Source organism: Homo sapiens, chromosome 17 (assembly GCF_000001405.40).
Source record: "Homo sapiens chromosome 17, GRCh38.p14 Primary Assembly".
NCBI lineage: Eukaryota > Metazoa > Chordata > Mammalia > Primates > Hominidae > Homo > Homo sapiens.
The window spans coordinates 7,022,670-7,040,535 of NC_000017.11; the positions used below are offsets into that span (position 1 = coordinate 7,022,670).

A 17,866-nucleotide genomic window follows, 5' to 3' on the forward strand; every position below is an offset into this window, starting at 1 on the left:
GGAGAGGGGGTTGCCGTATGCACTTTGTCCTGCAGCAAAGGTTGGCTCCTGGCAAACCCTCCCAAAAGCCAACACACCAATTTTCACTGGCCCAGGCCTTCCGACGACTCAGACTCCCGTATTGCCAACCTCGATATCCCTAACCTCCTCCCCAATTCCAATATCCCCGTCCTCGTGTCCACTTGCAGTGACCCAAGACCCCCTACGTTACGACCACCCCTTGTTTCTGAGGTCCCGCCCTCGAGACGGAGACCCCGCCCTGGACTCGCCATCTGGAGAGCGAGGGAGGAAGGAAGGATACAGACCCAGGCGTTCACCCCACCTCCACCCCCGCCCCCGACATCCCGGCCAGATAAAGGAGCCGAGGCCAAGAGGGGAGAGAGACCCCGCCCCCCTTAAGAAGAGAAGCCGCGGCCCCTGCAGGACGGGGGTAAGAACAAGAGACTGAGGGAGCCAGACTCCTGGGTCCCCCAAGAGGGTAGGAGCTTGTGTGGAGCTTGCCATCAGCGAGCCTGAGTCCCAGAAATTGGGCTAAACTAGGGATTGGGGACTAGATAGGAGTCGCAGAATTCCGTAGTTCGGGGAAGGGAGCCTCGGCTGGGATTTGGAGGTGTGTGGACGGCAGGCCGTGAGATCTCGAGGCAGGGTTGGACACCTGAGACACAGGCGCGCAGAGGGGAGTGGCGGTGCTGGAGGGGCACTGGGGGTCGAACCCAGGGCGATGGGCGCGGGATTCCCCACGCTCGCCAACGACGCCGCGGTGTGGAACCTTCAACTGGCTCCAAGCGCTGTGGGATCTGGAAGAGGCAAGGGAGCGAGGGTGTCGTAGAGGGCAGAATGAACAAGAAGAATTAGGAGGGAGGCTGCGTGTGCCGGGGCTAGGGGCTGGAAGTCCTGGCTCTAGTTGCACCTCGGAAGGAAAAGGCAAACAGAGGAGGGAAGGCGTCTTAGGACTGCCTGGATCCAGAGCACTTTCCACGGCCTCTACAGGCCTGTGTCGCTATGGGTTCCCCCGCCGCCCCGGAGGGAGCGCTGGGCTACGTCCGCGAGTTCACTCGCCACTCCTCCGACGTGCTGGGCAACCTCAACGAGCTGCGCCTGCGCGGGATCCTCACTGACGTCACGCTGCTGGTTGGCGGGCAACCCCTCAGAGCACACAAGGCAGTTCTCATCGCCTGCAGGTTCGAGGGGTGGGGCCTGGGGCGGGGCCAAATGGGAAAGGGGTGGGACCACAGGGCCGTTGAGAGGGAATCCGAAGCCAAGTCTTTCAGAAGCAGGAGGCGGAGCGTCCCAGAATTGGGGGCGGGGTGATAGTGAGGAGGCGGGACTTTTTCAGGGGGCGGGGCTTCCTGAAGCTGCGCATGTCTCCCTTGGTTCCCCAGCCCCCAAAGGACTTATCTGCTCTCTCTCTAGTGGCTTCTTCTATTCAATTTTCCGGGGCCGTGCGGGAGTCGGGGTGGACGTGCTCTCTCTGCCCGGGGGTCCCGAAGCGAGAGGCTTCGCCCCTCTATTGGACTTCATGTACACTTCGCGCCTGCGCCTCTCTCCAGCCACTGCACCAGCAGTCCTAGCGGCCGCCACCTATTTGCAGATGGAGCACGTGGTCCAGGCATGCCACCGCTTCATCCAGGCCAGGTGAGGGACCCTGGCTCGGCGTTCTCTGTGGGTGAGGTGTTAAGGGCAAAGGCAGAGTTTAGGAAATGGCACTAACGTTCATCACACTTTCCCCAGCTATGAACCTCTGGGCATCTCCCTGCGCCCCCTGGAAGCAGAACCCCCAACACCCCCAACGGCCCCTCCACCAGGTAGTCCCAGGCGCTCCGAAGGACACCCAGACCCACCTACTGAATCTCGAAGCTGCAGTCAAGGCCCCCCCAGTCCAGCCAGCCCTGACCCCAAGGCCTGCAACTGGAAAAAGTACAAGTACATCGTGCTAAACTCTCAGGCCTCCCAAGCAGGGAGCCTGGTCGGGGAGAGAAGTTCTGGTCAACCTTGCCCCCAAGCCAGGCTCCCCAGTGGAGACGAGGCCTCCAGCAGCAGCAGCAGCAGCAGCAGCAGCAGTGAAGAAGGACCCATTCCTGGTCCCCAGAGCAGGTACAGAGTCTAGAACCTCAAGAATTTGTCAGAGCTGGCCTCAGCTAGAAGACAGAGTCATTGGGCCTTGATGGTCAGGAGGAAGGGAGATAGGTGGTGGGTTTCAGAGACACTAGCTCACCTTAAGGAGCTGGCCAGAGACCAGGTTTATTCAGCAGGGTGGCACTTGGGCAGTACAATGGATGTGGCTCATTGGTCAACAATATTGGCTCACCCTGAGAGGGCAGGCCTTTGGCTCCAAATTTCCCAGGAGAGAACCCCCACCCCTCAACCGTACAATCTCTTTTAACCCTTTCCTTGCCATCTGCCTAGGCTCTCTCCAACTGCTGCCACTGTGCAGTTCAAATGTGGGGCTCCAGCCAGTACCCCCTACCTCCTCACATCCCAGGCTCAAGACACCTCTGGATCACCCTCTGAACGGGCTCGTCCACTACCGGGTAAGAGCCCCTCTTTCTTGGCTTTTCTCCCGTGACTGCTCCAGGCAAGTTTGTGCCAAAAACTCTCCCAGAAAGGCCTATTCCAATGGTTCCTAAACTTTATTACAAATTAGAATCACCTAGGAAGCTTTTAAACTCCCACTGCCCAGGTCACACTCCATAGATTAAAATATCTGGACATGGGACGAGTCATCAGTATTTTTCTAAAGCTCTCCCAGTGCTTCCAATGAGCAGCAAAGTTTGAGAATTTCTGGCCTATCCCCTTTCAGAGCTGAATGGTCAGCCCAAAGCTTGTCAGGGCCTCTCTGGCAGGCTGTCATTCAGAGTGGTGCAAGTGAGGAGGAGATTTTAGCCAAGCATGGTGGCTCATGCCTGTAATGCCAGCACTTTGGGAGGCCAGTGCAGGAGGATCACTTGAATCCAAGAGCTCAAGGCCAGCCTGGGCAACATAGTCAGATGTGGTCTCTACAAAAAATAAAAATGAAAATTAGCCGGGCACGGTGGTGCACACCTGTAGTCCCAGCTACTCAGGAAGCTAAAGTGGAAGGATCGTCTGAACCCGGGAGGTGGAGATTGCAGTGAGCCGAGATCACACCACTGCACTCCAGCATAGGCAACACAGCAAGACTCTGTCTCAAAAAAAAAAAAAAAAAAAAAAACAGGAGGAGAAACAAAACTCCTCCCACTAGCAGGGGCCTCCACCTACCACCACTGCTTTTATTTTATTTATTTATTTTTTTGAGACGGAGTCTCACTCTGTGGCCAGGCTGAAGTGCAGTGCCGCAATCTCGGTTCACTACAACCTCCACATCCCAGGTTCAAGCGATTCTCCTGCCTCAGCTTCCCGAGTAGCTGGGACTACAGGCACGTGCCACCACACCCAGCTACTTTTTGTATTTTTAGTAGAGACGAGGTTTCACCATGTTGGCCAGGATGGTCTCCATCTCTTGACCTTGTGATCCGACCGCCTCGGCCTCCCAAAGTGCTGGGATTACAGTCGTGAGCCACCGTACCTGGCCCCCACCACTGCTATTGAAGAGGAGATTAGCTGAGTACTCGAGTCAGACAGATGTGCAGTCAGATCTGGCTCATCTTACTATCTTCTTACTTGGCCTTGAGCAAGTCAAACCAGCCCCAGAAGTCTTAACAATAAATTGGGAAACAGAAAGCCTGCTACTGTGTGGTTTGAGGATTCAGTAGTACCTAGATAGCCCTCATTAATAACTATGGTTGCCGTCACCCATTCCCCTTCCCAGGAAGTGAATTTTTCAGCTGCCAGAACTGTGAGGCTGTGGCAGGGTGCTCATCGGGGCTGGACTCCTTGGTTCCTGGGGACGAAGACAAACCCTATAAGTGTCAGCTGTGCCGGTCTTCGTTCCGCTACAAGGGCAACCTTGCCAGTCATCGTACAGTGCACACAGGTAGGGGAAGAGAGGGCCCTGGCCTTCAAGCCCACAGCTGTCCTAGGGCAAAGTCCCTGATCTCCCATGTTCTCTGCCTCCAGGGGAAAAGCCTTACCACTGCTCAATCTGCGGAGCCCGTTTTAACCGGCCAGCAAACCTGAAAACGCACAGCCGCATCCATTCGGGAGAGAAGCCGTATAAGTGTGAGACGTGCGGCTCGCGCTTTGTACAGGTACGGAGCCAGCCTCCAAGTGGCTTCCAAGGCAAACCTGCAAGAGGTGGGGTGGGCCAATAGGGAGGGTTCTGTTCCTCCCAGAGGCAGGACTTGAAGTCTCCTCCCTCCCAGGTGGCACATCTGCGGGCGCACGTGCTGATCCACACCGGGGAGAAGCCCTACCCTTGCCCTACCTGCGGAACCCGCTTCCGCCACCTGCAGACCCTCAAGAGCCACGTTCGCATCCACACCGGAGAGAAGCCTTACCACGTGGGTACCCAACCTGGCCTGCCCACTGCCTTAGAATTACCTCTCCTTTGCCTAGGGGTGGGCTCTGAGAGGTGCGGGCCTGGCTGTCCCTAGATCTCTTAGAAATGAGCGGTGGCCGGAAGAGTCCAAGCAAATAAGGGGTGGAGGCTGGGAGTCAGGATGGGCAGGTATAGAAGTGATGCTCCTGGGCTGAGCACTGTTTTCTCAGAGAGGAGCTGAGAAGTGGGAAAACCTTTGCTAAATAAGGCGGGGCCTATCCCCTCAGCCACCCCTGAGGATTTGGGAGGATGTGAGAGTCAAAGAGCTGATCTTCCGCTGGATAGTTCCCACCTGGGAGAGCTGGACGGCCGCCCGGCTCAACACCTAAAAGGTGATTGTGGATGGGGCAGGGCCTGACTTGGCTGTCCTCCCACAGTGCGACCCCTGTGGCCTGCATTTCCGGCACAAGAGTCAACTGCGGCTGCATCTGCGCCAGAAACACGGAGCTGCTACCAACACCAAAGTGCACTACCACATTCTCGGGGGGCCCTAGCTGAGCGCAGGCCCAGGCCCCACTTGCTTCCTGCGGGTGGGAAAGCTGCAGGCCCAGGCCTTGCTTCCCTATCAGGCTTGGGCATAGGGGTGTGCCAGGCCACTTTGGTATCAGAAATTGCCACCCTCTTAATTTCTCACTGGGGAGAGCAGGGGTGGCAGATCCTGGCTAGATCTGCCTCTGTTTTGCTGGTCAAAACCTCTTCCCCACAAGCCAGATTGTTTCTGAGGAGAGAGCTAGCTAGGGGCTGGGAAAGGGGAGAGATTGGAGTCCTGGTCTCCCTAAGGGAATAGCCCTCCACCTGTGGCCCCCATTGCATTCAGTTTATCTGTAAATATAATTTATTGAGGCCTTTGGGTGGCACCGGGGCCTTCATTCGATTGCATTTCCCACTCCCCTCTTCCACAAGTGTGATTAAAAGTGACCAGAAACACAGAAGGTGAGATCACAGCTCTGCTGGCAGAGATTACTAGCCCTTGGCTCTCTCGTTTGGCTTGGGTATTTTATATTATTTCTGTCATAACTTTTATCTTTAGAATTGTTCTTTCTCCTGTTTGTTTGCTTGTTAGTTTGTTTAAAATGGAAAAAGGGGTTCTCTGTGTTCTGCCCCTGTAATTCTAGGTCTGGAACCTTTATTTGTTCTAGGGCAGCTCTGGGAACATGCGGGATTGTGGAATTGGGTCAGGAACCCTCTCTGGTATTCTGGATGTTGTAGGTTCTCTAGCAGTCTAGAAATGGATACAGACATTTCTCTGTTCTTCAAGGGTGATAGGAACCATTATGTTGAGCCCAAAATGGAAGTAATAATAAATGCCTCCTGGAGGCTGTGGGTGTGGGGGATTCTGTATCTGGATTCCGTATCACTCCAAGTGGAGGCTGGCAGGTTTTTCTGCAAGATGGTCCAGAATCTAAAATGTCCCATTAATCTGGTCACTTGGGTTTGGCTCTGCTGTATCCATCTATAGTGGTAGAGACCCACCAGGGCTCAAGTGGAGTCCATCATCCTCCCACGGGGGCCTGTTCTTAGCACTGAGTTGATCGCTCCATGGGGGAGAGATCAGACATTCCTTATCAGAGATGATGTGACCTTTTCTGACTCTGCCCAGTCTCTATGAATGTTATGGCCTAGGGAAGAATCATGAAACTCTTTAGCTTGATTAGATGGTAAACAGTGTTAACCCATCCTTTACTACAGAGGCATATGGGTTTGAATGTTACCTGGGGTTCTCTCTATTGAGTTGAGCCCCTTCTTCCTTTAGTGGGTTTTGGACATCTTCTGGCAAGTGTCCAGATGCCAGAACCTTCTTTTCCTCTAGAAGGGATGGTGCTTGGTAACCTTACCTTTTAAAAGCTGGGTCTGTGACCTGGTCTTCCCATCCCTGCATTCCTGTCTGGAACCAGTGAATGCATTAGAACCTTCCATAGGAAAAGAAAAGGGGCTGAGTTCCATTCTGGGTTTGCTGTAGTTTGGTTGGGATTATTGTTGGCATTACAGATGTAAAAGATTGACTAGCCCATAGGCCAAAGGCCTGTTCTAGTTGACCAAGTTTCAAGTAGGATTAAGAGGTTGGTTGAGGGGTGCAGTTTCTGGTGTAGGCCAGGTAGGTAGAAAGTGAGGAACAGGGTTGCCTCTTGGCTGGGTGGAGTCTCTGAAATGTTAGAAGAAGCGCTGAAGCCTTGATTGATAGTTCTGCCCCTTGTTGCCCTGGGGCTTATCTGATTATGGGACGAGGGTAGAAAGTAAGAAGCACTTTTGAATTTGTGGGGTAGAACTTCAACAATAAGTCAGTTCTAGTGGCTGTCGCCTGGGGACTAGTGAGAAAGCTACTCTTCTCCCTCTTCCCTCTTTCTCCCCATGGCCCCACTGCAGAATTAAAGAAGGAAGAAGGGAAGGCGGAGGAGTCTATAAGAAGGAATCATGATTTCTATTTAGCAGATTGGATGGGCAGGTGGAGAATGCCTGGGGGTAGAAATGTTAGATCTTGCAACATCAGATCCTTGGAATAAAGAAGCCTCTCTGTGCTGCCTGCTGTGTCCTGGGTTCTTGCCTTGGGGGACTCGGGGAGCGAGGAAGAGAGCTCTTCCTCCTGGATAACATCTTGGATTCTGTACCATTCCACTGTCCCTTCCCACCAGACATTTTAAATGGTCCTCGTTGTCCCCTTCCCTGCCCTTGCCTTCCTGCTCATTGTGTAGGAACCAGTGACTTCATGAAGTTTCTCCGGAGCCACCTGCATCCTGCTGCTCTGAAGTCACTTCCTGCCTGAGGTGTGGAGGCTGCAGGGAGAAACCAGGAAGCCACTAATAATATCAAGAGGCCGGGGCGTGCATCTGTGCTGGAGATCTTAATGCTGGCGACATGCCTCCATCACCAAGGAAGATGGATAAGAGTTGGGTCCCGTAAAGACCACAGGGGCTGGAGGTGGCACTGAGAAGACTGAGTTAGAACTAACGGGCCAGCCCACCCTCCCCCAGCAAGGGTATCTTGAATCTATCCAGGGTCCAGTGCATGCATCTCTCCCACCCTTTCCCCTGTCCTGTGTGTGTGCTGGGTGCGGAGGTCACTAATTCTGATATTACCTTCCTCTGGGCCTTAAATTCCTCATCTGTGAAAAAGTCAGTTACCATGATCTCTGCAGCTACCTCCAACATTGAAAGTTTGTAGTTGTCTTAATCTGTCTTCTGTTGCTTATTATAGAATACTGAATCTGGGCAACTTATAAAGAAAAGGAAATTATTTCTTACAGTTACGGACACTGAAAATTTTGCCCAAGGTCAAGTGGCCACATCTGGTGGTGGTCGTCTGGTTGGTGGGGGCTCTCTGCAGCACAGGAAACATTGCCAGTGTGCAAACATTGCCAGTTCAGGTCTCTCTTCCTCTTCTTATAAAGCCACCAGTTCCCCTCCCGTGATAACCCATAATCCATGAATGGCAGAACCCTCGGGATCCAATCCAATCATCTTTTTTTTTTTCTGAGACAGAATCTCGCTCTGTCTCCCAGGCTGGAGCGCAGTGGTGCAATCTCAGCTCACTGCAAGCTCCGCCTCCCGGGTTCACACCATTCTCCTACCTCAGCCTCCCAAGTAGCTGGGACTACAGGCACCCGCCACCACACCTGGCTAATTTTGTATTTTTAGTAGAGACACGGGGTTTCACCGTGTTAGCCAGGATGGTCTCAATCTCTTGACCTCGTGATCCGCCCACTTTGGCCTCCCAAAGTGCTGGGATTACAGGTATGAGCCACCATGCCCAGCCCCCAATCATCTCTTAAAAGCCCCAGCTCTCAATACCGTCATGTTGAGAACTAAAAGTTTCCATATGAATTTTTAGAGGAGACATGCAAACCATAGCATTCTGTCCCTGGGCCCCCAAAACTCATGTGCTTCTCACATACAAATACATTCATTCCACTCCCATAATCCCAAAGTCTTCACTCATTGCAGCATCAAAGTCTCATCTGTGAGCTAGTTATCTACTTCCAAGTTATGGAGCAAGTTATCTACTTCCAAGATATAATGGTGGGAACGAGCATAGTGTACACATTCCCATTCCAAAAGGGAGAAATAGGCAAAAAGAAACGGGTGAAACAGGCCCCAGGAAAGTCTGAAACCCAGTGAAACCCAGCAGGGCCAACATGACACCTTTTTTTTTTTTTTTTTGAAAGGAATCTAGCTCTGTCACTCAGGCTGGAGTGCAGTGGCGCGATCTCGCTCACTGCAACCTCCGCCTCCCAGGTTCAAGCGATTCTCCTGCCTCAGCCTCCCAAGCATCTGGGATTACAGGTGCCCACCAACACACCCAGCTAATTTTTGTATTTTTAGTAGAGATGGGGTTTCACTGTGTTGGCCAGGCTCGTCTTGAACTCCTGACCTCGTGATCTGCCCGCCTCGACCTCCCAAAGTGCTGGGATTACAAGCGTAAGCCACCGCACCCGGCCAACATTGCGACTTAAAGGTAGAGAATAATCTTTTTTGACTACATGTGGCACCTCCTGGACACAGGGTGGGAGTTGGATCCCCAAGGCTTCAGGCAACCCAGCCCTGTGGCTTTGGTGGGTGGGCTGGAGTCTGGTGCCTGAAGTTTCCTGGGGGGAGGGGGGCGCTGCCTGCTGCCTGTGATTCCAAAGTTCTGGGGGCCTGGTGGTGGTCCTGCTTCCACGGCTGTACTAGGCATTGCCCTACTGGGGACTGTGTGCATTGGCCTTGTTCCTATGGCTCCACCAAGGACTACCCCAGTGGGGGCTCTGCAGTGGCCTTGCTTCCACAATTCCAATAGGCATTGTCCTGGCAGGCACTCTCTGAGGCAACTTCAACATCACATTGCTGCTGGGTATTGCTCTGGTGGGGGCTCTCTGCAGTGGCTCTGCCCCTGTGACAAGTCCCTGCCTGGGCCCCTAGGCTTTCAACAACATCCTTTGAAATCCATGTGGAGACTGCCAAGCCTTCACAGCTCTTACTTTCTGCAAGACTGCAGAATTAGCACCACAAGGATGCAGCAAAGGTCTATGATTTGCACCTTCTGGAGCTTCAATACAAGCAACACACACACACACACACACACACACACACACACACACACAAGGAACACCTGGGGCCACTTAAGCCACCACCAGGCTGGGGTGGCCACAGAGTGCTACACTGGGGTGTGGGGTGCAGAGTCCTGAGGTTGCCCTGGGCGGTGAGCCCATGGAGAGCACCCAGGGCCTGTACCCTGAAACCCTCTGTCCTCCAAGGCCTCTGGGCCTGTGATGGGAGGGGCAGCCTCAAAGACCTCTGAAATGAGTTCAGGGACTTTCTTCCATTTTCTTGAGGAAGAGCACCTGGCTCCTTTTTAGCCATGTTAATCTTTTTAGCAAGAAGTGGCTTGGCCACGCCCTTGGATTCATCTCCTGAAAATGCTCTTTCATTCTCTACCACATGGCCAGGCTGAGAATTTTCCAAATGTTTCCACTCTGTTTCTTTTCTCTGTGAGATCATCTTAAGCAGTTAGAAGCAACCACACAGCAGCCTCAGCATTTTGCTGCTTAGAAATGTCTTCTGCCTGCCAGATACCCTAGTTCATCACTCTCAACTTCAGCCTTCCACAAAGCCCTTGGGCATGGATACAGTTTAGCCAAGCTCTTTGCCAGTTCGTAACAAGGATGGCCTTTACTCCAGTTTTCAATACCTTGCTCCTCAGTTCCATCTGAAAGCTCATCAGAATGGCTTTTGCTTCCATATTTCTTTTTTTTTTTTTTTTTTTTGAGATGGAGTCTCGCTCTTTCGCCCAGGCTGGAGTGCAGTGGCACGATCTCGGCTCACTGCAACCTCCGACTCCCTGGTTCAAGCGATTCTCCTGCCTCACCCTCCCGAGTAGCTGGGATTACAGGCGAGTGCTACCATGCCCAGCTAATTTTTGTATTTTTAGTAGAGACAGGTTTCACCATGTTGGCCAGGATGGTCTCAATCTCCTGACCTCATGATCCGCCCACCTCAGCTTTCCAAAGTGCTGGGATTACAGGCGTGAGCCACCCCGCCCAGCTGCTTCCATATTTCTATCAACATTCTAGTCATAAACACTTAACCAATCTCTAAAGAATTCCAAACTTTTCTTAGTCTTCTTGTCTTCTAAGACCTCTCCAGAATCTAGGCTTTTTCTAGCCTACTCCTCCAAATGCTTCCAGCCTCTGCCCATCACCCACTTCCAAAGCCACTTCATCATTTTCCGTTATTCATTATCAGCAACACCCCACTTCTTGGTACCAGTTTTCTGTCTCATTCAGTTCATTTTCTGTTGCTTACAACAGATTATCTGAAACTGGGTAATTTATAAAGAAAATGAATTTATTTCTTATAGTATGGAGGCTGAGAAATCCAAGGTCCAGGGGCCTCACCCTCTAGTGAGGGTTTTCTTGCTGATATGGACTCTCTGTGGCACAGGGTGTCACATGGCAAAGGGGGCTAAGCATGCTAATGTTCTAGCTTGGATCTGTCTGAAAAAGCCGACAATTCCCCTCCCATGATAACCCATTAATCTATTAACCTTTTAGTCCTTTATGATGGGGTTAATCTGTTAACCTATTAATCCATTATGGTGGGCTAATTCATGGGGATTAATTAATCCATTAATCCCATCCAATCACCTTTTAAAGTTTCCACCTCTCAGTACCGCCAAGTTGGGGATTAAGTTTCAATATGAGTTTTTGGAGGTAACATTCAAACCATCGCAGTGGTCGTTTCTCAATCTTTTTAAACCCATGACCTGGATTAGATTTTTTTTTTTTTTAATCAAAAAACAAAAACTAGGCAGGGCATGGTGGCTCACGCCTATAATCCCAGCACTTTGGGAGGCCCAGGCAGGCAGATCACCTGAGGTCAGGAGTTCGAGACCAGCCTGACCAAAATGGTGAAACCCTGTCTCTACTAAAAATACAAAAAATTTAGCCAGGCATAGTGGCAAACACCTGTAGTCCCACCTATTCGGGAGACTGAGGCAGGAGAATCACTTGAACCCAGGAGGTGGAGGTCGCAGTGAGCCGAGATCATGCCATTGCACTCCAGCCTGGGAGACAAGAGCAAAACTCCATCTCAAAACAAAAAACAAAAAACAAAAAAAAAAACACTAAACTAAAACCTTCCTTCACTTCCCACTACAGCAGCTTATCCCCTGTTGAAAATAACACCAATAAGACCAGCTAAGCTAATATTACTTGGCTCCTGCTGCATGTCAGCACATAAACTAAGCATTTTTAGTGCATGGATTTTCTAACTGAACCCCTTGGGCAACGCTTAATAGTAGGTACTATTATCCCCAGTTTACAGATGGGGAAACCAACTGAGAGATTCAGCATCTTGATCGAGTTAAGTAATAAAGTCAAGATTGGAACTGGGCCAGGCACGGTGGCTCACGCCTGTAATCCCAGAACTTTGGGAGGCCAAGGCTGGTGGATCACTTGAGGTCAGGAGTTCGAGACCAGCGTGGCCAACATGGTGAGACCTCGTCTCTACTAAAAATACCAAAATTAACTGGGCGTTGTGGTGGGAGCCTGTAATCCCAGAAACTCAGGAGACTGAGGCAGGAGAATCACTTGAACCCGGGAGGTGGAGGTTGCAGTGAGCCAAGATCATGCCACTGCACTCCAGCCTGGGCCACAGAGCAAGACTCCATCTCAAAATAAATAAATAAATAAATAAATAAATAAATAAATAAATAAATAAAAGACTGGAACTGTGATCTGATTCTAAAGACCCGAGTTCTTAATCACTATGTAATACAGCCACAGCAATTTCTGTATCTTTGGCATATTCCCCACCAGCCGACATTTTGACTCTTAGAAAGTATATATGTGTATTATTGATGATTACTTTTATTTCCCACATATAAAATTATTTAAGGCTCAATATGTCTTTTAAGACTACACACCTCCCTCCCTGCCTCCACTTCTTGTTTGCTGCTTTCCCCAGTAATCTGGGAGTGAACATTGAGTCCACGGTTTCAAGGTCAGGGTCCTGGGAAGTATGGCTTATAATGAAGGAACAGGAAATCCAAGCCATTGGTGTTATGGAGACTGGGAAGGACTGGGGAGTGTTTGCTAGGGGCCTGAGGACTACTTGGGTAAGAGGGGGCTGACTGCTCCAGTGGCCAGGGTCATAGTTTGTCTCTTTAGTCTACCCCACCATCAGATCAAAAAAGGTGGTTAGGAAGTGGTTGTTACTAGAGGGCAGAGGAAAAGGTTCCAGCCCCAGTGAGGAAGAGGTAGGTGGTGTTGGTGGGGCCCTGTGTGAGCTTACAGCCGCCCTTCCTCTCCTCAGTTATTTTTGGTCTCTGTGACCTGTAGGTTTCCTGTTAGTGGGAACAGAAGTGACAGGAACGAGTTCCCACTACAGAAATGAACGCCAGGAGTCCAACTCATTCCCCTTCTCTCTTCCCTTAGCCGTTGAACTTCTCAGGGATCCAGGCTTCTAGGTCTGCGTGCCTAGGGCTGCGTGTTAGTGGCTTCAGGCGCTGCGCCAAACACTTCGTTTGAGTCTCATCTCCTAACCCCTCCCCTACCCCCAACAGGGCCTTGCAATTCCTGGACCCCTCATTAAAGCAAGAGAGTCCTCTCCTCTCCAGACCCAGTTTACCCACCACTAACCCTTCCGTGTGGCTCTGGGTGCTGAAACGGGGATGACTTGGCCCGCTAGGTGAAGAGGAGACGGAAGCTTCCTGGCAGTCCCCGCGTCACGTGGGGCCCTACCTAGTCAGCCTCCTAACGCCCCTCCTTACGCATGCGCCCATTCACTGCTGGTCCCCAACAATGCCTAAATCCCGCCCTGCCCTTCTCGTTCCGCCCCTGCCCGGGAGCCCCGCGTCCTCATTGGCGAGCTCCAGGGTGGCCCGGCCCGGACACCCCAGTGATAAAATAGATCATCTACACGGAAACTGGCGCGCTCCAGGGGTGGGGCCCAAACTCAGTTCCACCCTCTGGCTCCCAGCCGAACACCGAACCGGGACCGATCCGGCCCCGGCTTGAACTAGCTCAGCTCCGAGCTCGCGGAACCACGCCCCCGGGAGACTCTGGCCCGGCCAGCGCGGGCCAGGTCTTCAGTCCTATATCGCCCCGCCTTGGGAAAAGGTGCAGGGGCCTCTCGCCGCCTCGTCGGGCCCTTCCTCTCTACCTGCCTCTCCAACCCCTCTCGGCCCCGAGCCACCCGGCAGCGGGGGTGGGTGTGCAGAGGTGCGGCGTCCAGAACCCGGCTCCTGCAGAGGCTCTGGGTGGCAGCAGCCCTGTTACCGCTTAGATGGCGCGCAGGACAGAGCCCCCCGACGGGGGCTGGGGATGGGTGGTGGTGCTCTCAGCGTTCTTCCAGTCGGCGCTTGTGTTTGGGGTGCTCCGCTCCTTTGGGGTCTTCTTCGTGGAGTTTGTGGCGGCGTTTGAGGAGCAGGCAGCGCGCGTCTCCTGGATCGCCTCCATAGGAATCGCGGTGCAGCAGTTTGGGAGTGAGTGCGGCGCCTGGATCTGGCGGACTGCGACCCTCGGAAGGGAGAGGGAATGCGGCGACTGGGAAGTGGAAGGGCGAGGGGCGGGAGATGCTGGGGGGGAGACCCCTGAGATCTTCTCGCAGCGCCCCTTCCACTTCCTCAGGCCCGGTAGGCAGTGCCCTGAGCACGAAGTTCGGGCCCAGGCCCGTGGTGATGACTGGAGGCATCTTGGCTGCGCTGGGGATGCTGCTCGCCTCTTTTGCTACTTCCTTGACCCACCTATACCTGAGTATTGGGTTGCTGTCAGGTGAGAGCCTGCACAAGGGCAGGAGAGTCAAATGCTTAGATCGTTGGATGTTCACCTCCTTCCTGCTCCTTCCAAAGGGTTCGGGGAGAAGCTGAGGGAAAGTTTAGCTAGCACCTGTACCCAGAAGGGAATTCTTAATAGGAATGACTAAAGCGACAAACATGGTGAGGAATTAGGAAATTCAAGGATGATGAAACCTGGCCGGGCACGGTGGCTCACGCCTGTAATCCCAGCACTTTGGGAAGCCGAGGCGGGTGGATCACGAGGTCAGGAGTTTGAGACCAGCCTGGCCAACATGGTGAAACCCCGTCTCTACAAAAATACAAAAATTAGCCGGGCCTGGTGGCGCTAATCCCAGTTACTCGGGAGGCTGAGGCAGGAGAATCGCTTGAACCCGGGAGGCGGAGGTTGCAGTGAGCCAAGATCGCACCACTGCACTCCAGCCTGGGCGACAGAGCAAGATTCTGTCTCAAAAAAAAAAAAAAAAAAGATGAAACCAAGTATACAAGCCCAGAAGCCCAGGGCTAATGGGACTGGAGTGTAAAAGGAAGAATTACTATAAAATGGTGCTAGGGGCCAGGCACGGTGGCTCACGCCTGTAATCCCAGCACTTTGGGAGGCCGAGGCGGGCGGATCACGAGGTCAGGAGATCAAGACCATCCTGGCTAACACGGTGAAATCACGTCTCTACTAAAAACACAAAAAATTAGCTGGGCGTGGTGGCAGGTGACTGTAGTCCCAGCTACTCGGGAGGCTGAGGCAGGAGAATGGTGTGAACCCGGGAAGCAGAGCTTGCAGTGAGCCGAGATTGCACCACTGCACTCCAGCCTGGGCGACAGAGCGAGACTCCGTCTCAAAAAAAAAAAAGAAAAAAAAAGGTGCTAGGTACTGTGACTGTGAAATCGATATCATTATTGGATTTACAGCTGGGGAAAAGCTTTAAAGCTTATACAACTTGGCAAATGAAGGTCACACAGCTAGAAATGGTAGAGCCCAGGTCTAACTCCAAAGTTCTGTGCTAGTTACCTTACAAACTTTGTCTCTAATCTTCCACAATCCCAAAAAGTGTATTATTACATTTTGCAGTTGAGAAGGTTGAGGCTGGGGGTGTTAAGTAAAACACACAAGGTTACACAGCTATGAAGTATCCAAGCCAAGATTGTATCCCAGGTCTGTGGGACTCCGAAGCAAGTGCTACATTCTGCTGCTGGGCAATGCGGGGATTACTGTGTGCCTTGAGCTCCCTAAGAGTTCTCAACACCACTTCTTCCTTTTTGACAGGCTCTGGCTGGGCTTTGACCTTCGCTCCGACCCTGGCCTGCCTGTCCTGTTATTTCTCTCGCCGACGATCCCTGGCCACCGGGCTGGCACTGACAGGCGTGGGCCTCTCCTCCTTCACATTTGCCCCCTTTTTCCAGTGGCTGCTCAGCCACTACGCCTGGAGGGGGTCCCTGCTGCTGGTGTCTGCCCTCTCCCTCCACCTAGTGGCCTGTGGTGCTCTCCTCCGCCCACCCTCCCTGGCTGAGGACCCTGCTGTGGGTGGTCCCAGGGCCCAACTCACCTCTCTCCTCCATCATGGCCCCTTCCTCCGTTACACTGTTGCCCTCACCCTGATCAACACTGGCTACTTCATTCCCTACCTCCACCTGGTGGCCCATCTCCAGGACCTGGATTGGGACCCACTACCTGCTGCCTTCCTACTCTCAGTTGTTGCTATTTCTGACCTCGTGGGGCGTGTGGTCTCCGGATGGCTGGGAGATGCAGTCCCAGGGCCTGTGACACGACTCCTGATGCTCTGGACCACCTTGACTGGGGTGTCACTAGCCCTGTTCCCTGTAGCTCAGGCTCCCACAGCCCTGGTGGCTCTGGCTGTGGCCTACGGCTTCACATCAGGGGCTCTGGCCCCACTGGCCTTCTCCGTGCTGCCTGAACTAATAGGGACTAGAAGGATTTACTGTGGCCTGGGACTGTTGCAGATGATAGAGAGCATCGGGGGGCTGCTGGGGCCTCCTCTCTCAGGTAAGTGGAATGGGGTTCCCAGGGGGTGAGGGCTGCCATGTTGCACAACTAGGGGAGGGTACTATTCTCATTACAGTGTATGTGAATATTGCCCTCTGGTGTAGTACAGTACACAGCCTGCGTGGCCAACCATAGCATCCCTGAAATGGGTCCATGGGGCAAAGAACTTGGGGCTGGGAAAGTCTGAGTGGAAAGACAAAAAGAAGCTAAGTGGAACCCTTGGCAGGGTGCCTACGGCTTGGGTTTGCAGAGGACCTGGCAGAACCTGGCCAGACACAGACGTAGCATTCCAGTGTGCACCCTTTCCTTTGGCCTACTGGGCCCCAAACCAGGTATCTGAGGCACCTGGTCAAAGTTCTGCTGGCTCAGGGTGCCAGAACTTTCAGACCTTTATCTCCTCTTACCCATTAACTGAAGCTTTAGAAAGGCCACAGTTGGTGGGCGCCTGTAGTCCCAGCTACTCAGGAGGCTGAGGCAGGAGAATGGCATGAACCCGGGAGGCGGAGCTTGCAGTGAGCTGAGATCGCGCCACTGCACTTCAGCCTGGGCGACAGAGCGAGACTCCGTCTCAAAAAAAAAAAAAAAAGAAAGGCCACAGTTGCCAGAAAGAAAGGCACAAGTATGCCTGACTCAATCTGGATCTCCAAATCCCTGCAGGCTGGTTTGGAGGTCCTTTCTGAAGGCGGGGAGGTGGTTGAAATTAACTTTTGAGGCCCTTTTGGGAAACCAGAGTTCTTAAGTTTATCCAACTATTCCATGGGAGTTCCAACTCCTCTGAGATGATAAGTCTTCCCTCCACCCAAAAATGTATCTGAGCCCTCAGCCCCAGCAAATAGATCACTCATGTGTATTCTTTTTCTCTCTTGGACCTAGGCTACCTCCGGGATGTGACAGGCAACTACACGGCTTCTTTTGTGGTGGCTGGGGCCTTCCTTCTTTCAGGGAGTGGCATTCTCCTCACCCTGCCCCACTTCTTCTGCTTCTCAACTACTACCTCCGGGCCCCAGGACCTTGTAACAGAAGCACTAGATACTAAAGTTCCCCTACCCAAGGAGGGGCTGGAAGAGGACTGAACTCCACAGAGTCAGGCCCAGAAAGCCAAAGCTTGACAGCTCCAGGTCTTCTCTTGCCACGTCTTGGTCTCCACAGAACCACAGTGCCTTAAGATTCTTGATCTGCCTCCCCCTAGAGCAGGCCTGGGGCTCCTGCAATGTGTGTGCCAACCCTTTGTATTTTGTTGAGGACTCTTATTTCTCCGTTACTCTCCTAACCTTTTCTTCTTTTTTCTTTTTCCCGAGACGGAGTCTTGCTCTGTTGCCCAGGCTGGAGTGCAGTGATGTGATCTCGGCTCACTGCAACCTCCGCTTCCCGGGTTCAAGCGATTCTCCTGCCTCAGCCTCCCAAGTAGCTGGGATTACAGGCGGGAGCCACCACACCCGGCTATTTTTTTTTTTTTTTTTTTGTATTTTTGGTAGAGACAGGGTTTCACCATGTTGGCCAGGATGGTCTCGAACTCCTGACCTTGTGATCCACCCCCCCCCCCCCTCGGCCTTCCAAAGTGCTGGGATTACAGGCGTGAGCCACCACACCCAGCCTCCCCTAACCTTTTCTAAAGGACCCAGGAGTTTTGAAGGATCCGGGAGTTC

General features: G+C 52.7%; 2 protein-coding genes across 2 annotated transcripts, besides 3 other annotated features; both read left to right on the forward strand.

Moving 5' to 3' along the window:
• Positions 1-380: 380 nt before the first annotated feature.
• Positions 381-6,975, forward strand: BCL6B (BCL6B transcription repressor). Its single transcript, NM_181844.4, has 9 exons — positions 381-430; positions 991-1,181; positions 1,414-1,635; positions 1,732-2,094; positions 2,407-2,531; positions 3,788-3,952; positions 4,036-4,166; positions 4,281-4,418; positions 4,834-6,975. The coding sequence occupies exons 2-9, from the start codon at positions 1,003-1,005 to the stop codon at positions 4,948-4,950; spliced, it is 1,440 nt and encodes a 479-aa protein (NP_862827.2). The 5' UTR covers positions 381-430; positions 991-1,002; the 3' UTR covers positions 4,951-6,975.
• Positions 12,785-13,285: an enhancer, noted in NCBI's record as "H3K27ac hESC enhancer chr17:6938773-6939273 (GRCh37/hg19 assembly coordinates)". NCBI's record gives its function as "activates a minimal SCP1, AML or CMV promoter by ChIP-STARR-seq in naive H9 embryonic stem cells {active_cell/tissue: H9 hESC(naive)}" and the evidence as "EXISTENCE:reporter gene assay evidence [ECO:0000049][PMID:30033119]".
• Positions 12,894-12,943: an enhancer, noted in NCBI's record as "active region_11595". NCBI's record gives its function as "activates an Ori minimal core promoter by ATAC-STARR-seq in GM12878 lymphoblastoid cells {active_cell/tissue: GM12878}" and the evidence as "EXISTENCE:reporter gene assay evidence [ECO:0000049][PMID:35858748]".
• Positions 13,346-17,448, forward strand: SLC16A13 (solute carrier family 16 member 13). Its single transcript, NM_201566.3, has 4 exons — positions 13,346-13,912; positions 14,058-14,201; positions 15,483-16,220; positions 17,094-17,448. The coding sequence occupies exons 1-4, from the start codon at positions 13,714-13,716 to the stop codon at positions 17,291-17,293; spliced, it is 1,281 nt and encodes a 426-aa protein (NP_963860.1). The 5' UTR covers positions 13,346-13,713; the 3' UTR covers positions 17,294-17,448.
• Positions 13,674-13,913: an enhancer, noted in NCBI's record as "active region_11596". NCBI's record gives its function as "activates an Ori minimal core promoter by ATAC-STARR-seq in GM12878 lymphoblastoid cells {active_cell/tissue: GM12878}" and the evidence as "EXISTENCE:reporter gene assay evidence [ECO:0000049][PMID:35858748]".
• Positions 17,449-17,866: the final 418 nt, after the last annotated feature.